General features: G+C 36.1%; 1 non-coding gene across 1 annotated transcript; it reads right to left on the bottom strand.

Moving 5' to 3' along the window:
• Positions 1-10,194: 10,194 nt before the first annotated feature.
• LOC124901212 (small nucleolar RNA U13) lies at positions 10,195-10,293 on the bottom strand. Its single transcript, XR_007059176.1, has one exon. It is a non-coding gene; the product is annotated as a small nucleolar RNA U13 (small nucleolar RNA).
• Positions 10,294-11,177: the final 884 nt, after the last annotated feature.

Here is an 11,177-nt window from a genome sequence, read left to right as displayed (position 1 = left end):
GTGGCTGCTTATCTCAATTCACTGTAATAAAATTACCCAAATGTAAGTTAAGAATATTTTGGAGAAAGACTTTTCTTCATGACTTTCTTTGCTTCACTATCACATGAAACAAAAACCTTTTTTTTTTTTTTTTTTCTGAGACGGTGTCTCACTCTGTCGCCCAGGCTGGAGTGCAGTGGCATGATCTCGGCTCACTGAAACTTCTTCCTCCAGGTTTCAAGCAATTCTACTAAACAAAAAACTTGTAAGGAGTTACTTTGGTTTAAAGATAAAGCTAAGTAGTTTAAAAATGCCCAAGGAAAAGACAGAAGTCATTTGAACTCTTAATAATTAAGGCATTAACCCTTAATTAAACCTGAAATTAAGGTATTAAGTAGTATAATATATATAATTTTATACAAAATTAAATATAGTGTAGAATTTGAAATGTACAGAAATCATCATTTACAAAACAAACAATTATGACTTTCAAGATAGATTAGCTCTTTCAAATGTTGAACTACAGTAACAGTTATGTCATCTCAAATTGTTTAAGCAGCATCTTATGTGGACCCAAAATGAGACCATGCACCAGAAAAAATCTGTTGTTAACAGAAATTATTTTCATACATACACATTTTAAGGATTGCCGACTATTCTAGCAACTTGCCTGGTGTACAAAGCTATGAGTAATAGGACTAATTCCTTCCTAACCAAACCATATGTGTGTATTTTTCCCTAACTTTCTCCAGCTAAAAAATAGCTCCATATATGTTTAAAAAAAAGCTAAGCTTTTCCATTAATATGTAAAATGCAAAGATTAAAAAACATGTTTCATATAATTAACAACAAATGATATTTTTCTAGTAATGAATAGTTTATGCTAGTAACAAATTTGTTAAAATAGTATAAATACTGTGAAGCAATAATTTTAACATATCTACTTATGAGTTCTACATACATTCAGTCCAATTCCCTGACCAGAAAATTAATATTTACATTTTGAAATTTCTCTGCCTAGACCTTATTTTTGCCTTTTTGTTTTAAATAATGATTGTCTTTTCAAAAAAAATAAGAAATATAAAAATCATATCAAGAACAACTTTAAACAAGCCAAAAAAGCCTGAAATGACATTTCAACCATTACAAAAGAGCATTCCAGATGGTTTATTATGCTTTTAGAAAATAGACAAATAGAAAGGAACTAAGAAATGATGAAAGCAAGAAAGAAAAATCAACAAAAAGAAGGTATTTTATTTAAAACTGGGCCATGAGTGATGATTTTAATATAAACTTTATTTAGCATACTTGAATTTAAAGGGAAAAAACTAGTAAATTCTATTTTTTAAAAAAAATTAACTGTACAAATAAATATCTGTTCTTCTTAAGACATACTTCTTCCATAAAAGATACCTCAAAATTTAAGAAGAATTTTTTTTTTTAATATTGAGAGTTTGGAATTTTGCTGTTGTGATTGCTGTTATTTTGAAACAGGGTTTTACTGTGTCACCCAGGCTGGAATGCGGTGGTGTGATTATGGGTTACTGAAATTTCTGCCTTTCGAACTCAGATGGTTTTCCCAACTCAGCCTCCTGAGTAGCTGGGAATACAGATGTGTCCCACCACTCCTGGCTCCTGGCTTTTTTTTTTTTTTTTTTCGGAGAGAGGGGATTTTGCTGTGTTTCCCAGGCTGGTATAGAACTCTTCAGCTTAAGTGATCTGCCTGCCTTGACCTCTCAAAATGCTGAGTACAAGCATAAGCCACCACACCCATCCTGGAAGTTTTAATATTTCAAGTAGAGCTAGCATAACCTGTGCTAAAAGATAAATTAAGGCACAATAAAATGTTAAAGAGTTTATTTGAATAAACCTTGATTCATGAATTGATCAGCTCCAGCTCCTAACCAGAAGTGATTTGGGAGCTCCAATAGATGCTTTTAAATGACAGACATGGAAGTAAAGCCAAGGAAAGATTTCATTGGTTACAGTTATGCAATTGTCTTTATTTTGTCTATGTTGCTGAATAGGTTCTTGTTATGTAAGTTAGTTGGCAGCTTCTGACTGATAGAGTCTAAGTTTTATTTTTCCTTAATACAAGCATTTACAAGACATGGCCCATGTTTAAGTTTTGCTGTGCTTGCAAGTTAAGCCATGCTAAGGTTATTTTCAAGGCCTAACTGGCTTTTTCTGCTCACAAATTCTCCAGACCTTGTCTCCATTTTAATTTACTTAACACCTGCACAATCTTGTACTTTATTTTATTCCTCCAAGGTTATTGACATTACTGACGTACTTAAGATGTATATTTTTGGTTAATTTTCATTACCATGGTTCCTTAGTTTTATTTCTGTTTATTTAGTTTAGATTCTAATGATTGCTTTATTTTTCCATTATTTGATTGTTTTAATTGTCAAAAATGTGTTTTGTTTGTCTCTTTATTTATCTCTCTCTTTCTTTTTTTTTTCCAGAAAGGCCTATCGGTTGTTTATTTCTTCTCTTATTTTTTATTTTGATATCAAGAGTGAGGGTACATTTTAATGCTTGAATAACATTTAATACCTGAATGTATAGGTCTTGAGTAACATCTTACCTCTTATTTTCTTCAGAATCTCGTAGCTATAACACTATTATCTGCCATCATTAAACACTTCTGTGGATAAATCTGAGGCTACTCTGACACTTCCTTCTTGTACATAACTTTCTCTTCTTTCCTGTATGCCAGATAATACCTAATTCTCCAATTTCAATTACATCACCAGGTTATTTATTGGGCCAAATTGTTCCACAAATTGTAATTTCTGGAACACTGTTTATTCTGTCATTGTGCAAATATATTATAAAATTTCTGGGAAATCTTCATCCGTTTCTCATGAATGACTTTTGTTAATTCTATTGAAGTTTTTACATCACAGATAACAGTTATTCTCATCTTGGAACATCTCTGTTCTCTTCATCTATTGTGATTCATCGAACTGCTTTGATCTGGGCCTTTTTCCTCTGAATTCACGTAATTTTAATAGGCATTTTCTCCACTGTGTCAGTGATTCTATTTTCAGCCACATCTGTTCTGTTTTGTTCTGTTTAGAGTGCATTTACTATTTTTGTACTGTGGTAATTTTGTCCCTCAATTTGTTTCCACAGCTCTTCAGTCACCATTTTCATCTTCCTGGGTTGTATTGCCATCTGGTTTTTACACACTTGTTTGATAAATTAATGCTTCTATTAAGTACTTAGACAGTAAGTCCCTTGTGGAGGATTTACTTCTATTCATTTGACAATGATTTACTCTTGTCTAAGATAGTCACTTATCTTTTGCCAATTATATTCTTTAATTTGCTTATTTTTAAATATTGTTTATATAGTTGCTAAACCTCTCTACCTTGCTAACATAACTTTTTATAGAAATTTATAGAATCTTCTTTTTCTATCTCTTTACCTAAATTTAGCTTTTTTTCCCATCTGAAAATGTGGCTTTGTTGACATTGGTTTTTTAGACTGAGTGTGAGGTAAAAGAGGAGGTCTCAGCTTCAGTTATTTTCTAATAGAACTGGGTCCTACAGTACTGATGCAGGCAAATCCCCAAATTGGTGCTCAGCCAGGGCAGGGAGGTCCTTGGCTTCACACAAAAAAGAATTCAAGAGCTATCCAACAAAATAAAGGAAAAGTGAGTTTATTACAGCAACAGAACACAGAAAAATGGCTGCTCCATAGACAGAGTGGCTGCAATGTTCCACGTGGACTGCTGGCTAGCTGTATTTATGGCTATTCCTTGATTAGATGCTAAATAAGGGGATGGTCATCTGGAAAAAGGGTGTGGAGTTCCCAGAACTGAGGGTTTCTCTCCTTCTAAACCATATAAGGTAACTTCCAGCCGTTGCCATGGCATTTGTAAACTGTCATGCCATGAATGGGAGTTTCTTTTAGCATGCTAATGCATTATAAGTACTATATAATGAGCAATGAAGAAAACTAGTTAAAAGTCACTCTCATCCCCATCTTGGTTTTAGCTGTTTGGGGCCTGTTTCTTTGCTGCATCTGTTTTCATCAAATTCTATTTTGATCAGCAGGGTCTTGTAACCAATGCTGAGAAAACAAGTTCTCCTGCTGATTCCCTACTTCAGTGTTACATAATATTATGTAATGTGTTGTTAAAGTCCACTACAATAGTATTTTTAAGCAATAACCATTTCTATAGAAACTACAATGAGATTTTATTAAAATGCCAATGGATGCCCTTGAATCTACTTTTATTGCAGGCTGCCAGGTGATGCCAGTGTTACTGGTCTTATAATCATATTTTGAGTGTCAACAATCAAAAACAGTTCACTGCACTGAACAAAGGGAAAAGCAAATCACACTGGTGACACTTCCTACCCATTTGATGTATTTTTACTATTCATTGATGATTCCTGGAGTTTATGCTTTGACCAGGAAAGTTTAGCCTCATGACCTACTCTCAGTGAAAACATACCTCCCCCGGCCTTGTCCGTTCCCTGCTTGCTAGAGATGGAAAAGATGAAGATCTCCTCTGAGGTAGCTTCTAGATAATTTGGTGTCACTCATACGGATTCTAAAAGATAAGATAACACTGCATTATCTCCTTTTGAGTTAGAGAAGCACAAGATTAGTTTTCCCTTAATTCTGTTTCTGACACTGATCTTCAATTTTTAAGTTTAAAATATGTGAGTGCGACATTCTCCTTGTTTGCTATGTATTAATGCTAAATCTAATTTATTTATTTTGTGGATTGGTTAGTTCATTATTCTCATAAATACTAATTCAATGACTAAGCCCCATTCTAAGTCTTCATTGTAAAACAAAAATCATTTTTCATGTCTTTTGAATGCATGCATTTGTTCATATACACATATATAGTTGGGCAATAATGATATTATACATACTGGTTTTATTCTTTTTACTTAAGTGGGTGTTCATGACCTTTCCAGAAGAGTATATATAAATATACTTTGTTCCTTTTTAATGGCTATTATATCAACTTTTGAAGCTTGAAGTTCATTTAATGATAGTCATTTTGGTGATTTAAAATTTAAATCAATGCAAAAAAAAGCATTTTACATTCTAGTTTTGTGAACACTCAATTACTTTTAAAGAATATATTTTTACAAATAAAAATCTTAGTCAAATGTAAACACATGGTACAATATCATAGCCACTACTCAAGAAAATGGGCTGAGATTTGCAAAGGTTTCTGTAAGTTTGAGCATACCTTGCTTCACACAAGTGAACATTCAATAATGGCAGTGGAGTCAGGGCAAGATGATATGGTTTGGCTCTGTGTTCCCACCTAAACCTCCTCTTGAATTTTACTCCCGTAATTCTCACATGTTGCAGGAGGGACCCTGTGAGAGAAATTGAATCATGGGGGCAGTTCCCCGCCTGGTGTTCTCACGGTGGTGAATAAGTCTCATGAGATCTGATGGTTTTATAAAGGGTTTCCACTTTCACTTCTTCCTCATTCTCTCTCTTGCCACCACCAAGTAAAAAGTGACTTTCACCTTCTGCCATGATTGTGAGGCCTCCCTAGCCACGTGGTACTGTAGGTCCATTAAACCTCTTTCTTTTTTAAATTGCCCAGTGTCAGGTATGTCTTTATCAGCAGCATGAAAACAATGTACTAATACAGTAAATTGGTACCAGTAGAGTGGGGCACTGCTGAAAAGATACCTGAAAAAGTGGAAATGACTTTGGAATTGGGTAACAGGCAAAGGTTGGAACGGTTTGGAGGGCTCAGAAGAAGACAGAAAAATGTGGGAAAGTTTGGAACGCCTTAGAGACTTGTTGAATGCTTTGACAAAAATGCTGATAGTGATATGCACAATGAAATCCAGGCTGAGGTGGTCTCACATGGATATGAGGAACTTGTTGGGAACTGGAGTAAAGGTGACACTTGCTCTATTTGACTGGCAGCATTTTGCTCCTTCCCTAGAGATTTGTGGAACTTTGAACTTGCAGGAGATGATTTAGGGTATATGGCAGAAGAAATTTCTAAGCAGCAAAGCATTCAGGAGTGACTTGAGTGCTGTTAAAGGCATTCAGTTTCAAAAGGGAAACAGAGCAAAAAAGTTTGAAAAATTTGCAGCCTGACAATGCAATACCAAAGAAAATTCCATTTTCTGAAGAAAAATTCAAGCAGGCTGCAAAAATTTGCACATATAATGAGGAGTCAAATGTTAATCACCAAGACAATGGGGAAAATGTCTCCAGGGCATGTCAGAGACCTTTGCAGCAGCTCCTCCCATCACAGGCCCAGAGGTTTATAAGGAAAAAATGGTTTTGTGGGCCTGGCGCAGGGTCCCTCTGCTGTGTGCAGGCTAGGGACTTGGTGTCCTGTGCCCCATCCACTACAGCTGTGACTGAAAGGGGCCAAGGTATAGCTCAGGCTGTTGCATCAGCAGGTGGAAACCCCGAGCCTTGGTAGCTTAGATGTGGTCTTGAGCCTGCAGGTGCACAAAAGACAAGAGTTGAGGTTTGGGAACCTCCACTTAGATTTCAAAAGATGAATGGAAAAGACTGGATGCCCAGGCTGAATTTTGCTGCAGAGGCAGGGTCTTCATGGAGAACCTCTACTAGGGCAGTGAAGAAAGGAAATGTGGGGTCAGAGCCTCCACACAGAGTCCCTACTGGGACACCACCTAGTAGAGCTGTGAGAAGAGGGCAACTGTCCTCCAGACCCCAGAATGGTAGATCCATGAACAGCTTGCACCACGCACCTAAAAAGCCACAGACACTCAACACTAGCCCATGAAAACAGCCAGGAGGGGGGCTATGCCCTGCAAAGCCACAAAAGGGGAGCTTCCCAAGACAATGGGAACCCACCTCTCGCATCAGCATGACCCCAATGTAAGACATAGAGTCAAAGAAAACATTTTGGAGCTTTAAGATTTAACTGCCCCACTGAATTTGAGACTTGCATGGTGCCTGTAGCCATTGCTTTTGGCCAATTTCTCCATTTGGAATGGCTGTATTTCCCCAATGCCTGTACCCCATTGTATTTAGGAAGTAACTAACTTGCTTTTGATTTTACAGGCTCATAGGTGGAAGGGACTTGCCTTGTCTCAGATGAGATGTTGGACTGTGGACTTTTGAGTTAATGCTGAAATAAGTCTTTGGGGGACTGTTGGGAAGGCATAATTGGTTTTGAAATGTGGGGACATGAGATTTGGCAGGAGACAGGCATGGAATGATATAGTTTGGCTCTGTGTCTTCACCCAAATCTCATCTTGAATTGTACTCCCATAATTCCCATGTGTTGGGGGAGGGACCTGGTGGGAGATAATTGAATCATGGGGGCAGTTTTCCCCATACAGTTCTCATGATAGTGAATAAGTCTCATGAGATCGGATGGCTTTATAAGGAGCTTCTGCTTTTGCTTCTTCCTCATTCTCTTTCTTGCCACCGCCATGTAAGAAGTGCCTTCTGCCATGATTGTGAGGCCACCCTAGCCATGTGGACCTGTAAGTCCATTAAACCTCTTCCTTTTGTAAATTGCCCAGTCTCAGTTGTGTCTTTATCAGCAGCATGAAAATAGATTAATACACAGGACAATGAAGAGATTGCTATTCCTTTTAGATTTTTTTCACAAATGAATGGTATTTATAAGTATGTTCTTTATACTAGAATTTGAAATAGCAACAAGATGAATCACACATATGCTGAAACAAATTCTAAGAGCAGTGTACATAAGAGGAAATTTTTAATTTAAGACTATCTTATTTATTTATTCTATATTCTCCACTCCTTGGGAAGTAGAAGGTAAAATAAGAAAAGCTATATATTATAATGAGAATATGGGAAAAAGGGAAACAGACATCTCAAAGGACATATTCCACAGCAGATTGCAACGCTCATATTAGATTCTGTGTCTAATTTAAAGAAATGGAATGAAATCATTCCTCCATGCAAAAGTGTGCATTCTACACTAATAATAAATTCAGAAAAAAATATGTTTTCCTGACAAAACATCAGTTTCTGTTACCATTAAGTTTCGTTTCCCAGTAGAAGAAATATTTAGTAATGTCACCTTGAAGTTAATTGGTTTTCACAAAGAAAACTAGAAGCCTCAGTAAATATTCCCATTAAAATAGTGGATTAAAGTCCCTTGAAAATGACCTTATAGTTAGTAATTTTGATAGTCATGTACTCATTGTCTTTCAGCATAAAATCCATTCCTTATACTCTACTCTGAGATGCTGGGACTAAAATTTTGCAAACTGTATTCCTGATTTCCATGATTATGTCCATCAGAGGCACTGAAGAGGAAGATGAATGAAGTGAGAAGGAACTCTCCCCCGTTTATGTTTTCTTCTTTTTTTCTTTCATTTTTTCTGCTGTTCACATCAGCATAACTCAAAAGAGAGAATGGTCTCCAGTCTCCAGCCCCTTTTGCCAGTCCTGATTTCAGCCTCATCACCCTTCTTACAGGAACCAACAACCAAGAGGCACCTCCTCTTTGGAGATTGAGTGCCAACCCCACAGGGCCTCACAAAGAACTCTCAGGCCTTGCTCTTCCCACTTCTTTTCTCATCTTTGTTTTCATCAGTTATAATCTTTGGGTTAGCTTAGTGCTCCCTTTTTGCTGTTTAAGTTTGACAGTTCTTATAAAACCATTGTGGTCTCTTATAAAATCCCCCCTGTGTGAAGACCTTGTATGATTTCTTTTCTCCTGAATTAACCATGGCTGATACAGTACTTTGAAAGGTGAAATGATTCAACAGCATATGTTCAATGACACATACAGACCTAAATCAAGCTCAAGTTATCTGATTATCTGGATTTCTTTACTAATCCTCGAGTCTCAGTTTACCTCAAGTAGTTGATCCTCAGCTATCAGCCTGGGTTAAAGGGGAGATTATACAGTGTATTTATTCCATGTGGGAATCAAGGTGAACCTCCTACACTAAAATGGATGATTATCAATGATTTATTAAGTTCATAATCACTACATGATCTGAATACATGCCTTTTTTACGTTCATGAAAAACCTTAAACACTGCAAAGAATAATGCAGCATCAAGCTAACACTCAGAATTGACAATTTTCTACACAGAAACCTGATCATTTTTATTTGTTTGGAAGCAATTCTCTGTGGTGTTTTTACCACCTCAGATGCTCTTTTCAAGAATCTTGTATAACAAAGAGCCTTGGAAGTTAGAGATAGTGTATCACTCCTTAGGAGAGAGATTTCTTGTCTGATCAGTGTAATAAACATAGAGAATGTTTTTCTCTTCAGAGACATTCTAGGAGAGTAAAGTCTTCCTTCTCCTTCGCAAAGGGATAGCCTTACATTCCAAGGCAGAGTTTCTCTGGAGATAAGGATGGGCAGGTTTTCTGACAGATCCCTTATACAATCGAGGGTTTTTACAGTGCAGTGTTTCTCAGCTGTGACATAAACCCCTGTGTGTGCAGAGTCCTTGTCAGTTTAAGCTGCTATAACAAAGTATCATAAACTGTGTGGCTTATAAACAACAGAAACTTATTTCTCACAGTTCTGGAGGCTGGAAGTTCAAGATCAGGGTGCCAGCATGGTTGGTTCTGGTGAGGACCATTTTCCGGGTGGCAGAGTGCCGCTTCTCTTTGTAACCTCACCTGGCAAAAACAGGAAGAAAGTTCTTTGGGGTTCTTTTTATAAGTGCACTAATTCCATTCATGAAGGCTTCATCCTCATGACCTAATTACCTTCTAAAGACACCGTCAAATGTCATCACATTAAAAGTTAAGATTTCAATATATAAAATATCAATCTGTAACACAAAATATTTACCCGCGCCACCCCCACGGGATTTGGAAGGTAGAGAGAACTATGAACCCACGTTGCCTGCCATGTGGTGAGCAATACTGTCTAGAACCATTTGAGTGCATCTCATTGTCTTCTTATTGAATCTATGCAAATGAGCCTAGGCAGCTGCATAACTCTAACACATTTCCAGTTAACACTAGTGCTTAAAGCCATATATATATGTGTGGATATATATATATCCACACACACAATACTAAGTACACATTTCATGGATTAATACTACTTTGTTTAAGTATATATATATGCACACACACACATATATACATACACGTATATATGTGTGTGTGTATATATATATACACACATATACATACACACACACATATATATATACACACACACACATATATCACTTAACCTTAGCAGGTAATTTTCATTTTTTCTCTTATTTTCTTTCATGTCAGATGGGTAACGTGCTGCCACCAAAACAGGATTTGAAGGAGGTACAACTCACACGTGCTCATAAACACCCAATCATCGTGCTTGAGAACAATTATTACATTCTGAGTACTTAAAGAAAATTCTAGTTTTAAAAAAGAGCAGCATTCTTATTACTGTCATTAAATGGACAGAATTCCAAAAGAAGGAGTTTATTCACTTGAGATAGAGTGGAACATAGTGAGATATTATGTGATTATGACCTTCCTTCATCTCGATCATGTTTATATGTGTAAGGATAAGCATTGAGGATAGAGGATCTTCCAGAATGTCTAGTGTGAACTTTGTTATGCAGGTTTGTGTCATCTGATTTGTATACTCTGTTATTTCCTTTTTGCCAGGGGGTGGGAGGGCCCCCCAAATGCTTACACCTTATCATTCATTAAGGTATATTTCTGATATTACTGTGTCATATTCTCTTAGTGCTGATTTATTCCTATTACTCTAGAATCTTCCTTGATTTATCAAGGTCTGTTTTTTTCTATCAGTTTGAACAACTTATTTGCATTTGTTAAAAAAAACTTACAAAGTTCTAGTGTACCTACATTTTTCAATGTGTTATTTTTAATTTATATTTTGTCTATTACCTTTCAATGTTATTTTTATTTCTAATTTGTCAACTTATTTCTTTTTTGTAGCTTATTTTTCCTGTATTATATTTACAATATCAACCCTTAATACATAGATTTTATTTATTGGCTTATTTTTAGTTCTTGAAGCATTTGTACTAATTCAGGTTGTATATTTTGTTTAGTTCATTATGTCTGAATCCTGAAGGCTTTACTTTTCTTTCTTTTGGAATGTGCTCTGTCATTTGTTTTCTTAAATATGTATTTTACCTGTAAATTGAAGGAAGAGATAGTCATGTAATCTGCTGGCTCCTTTACATTAGCATTAAATCTCCTAGTCTGAGATCCTTTATATAACACTCTGAATATCATTC

Source organism: Homo sapiens, chromosome 5, assembly GCF_000001405.40.
Source record: "Homo sapiens chromosome 5, GRCh38.p14 Primary Assembly".
Taxonomy (NCBI): Eukaryota; Metazoa; Chordata; class Mammalia; order Primates; family Hominidae; genus Homo; species Homo sapiens.
Note: the sequence above shows the minus strand (reverse complement) of the source record. Positions and strands in the feature narration are given on the sequence as shown.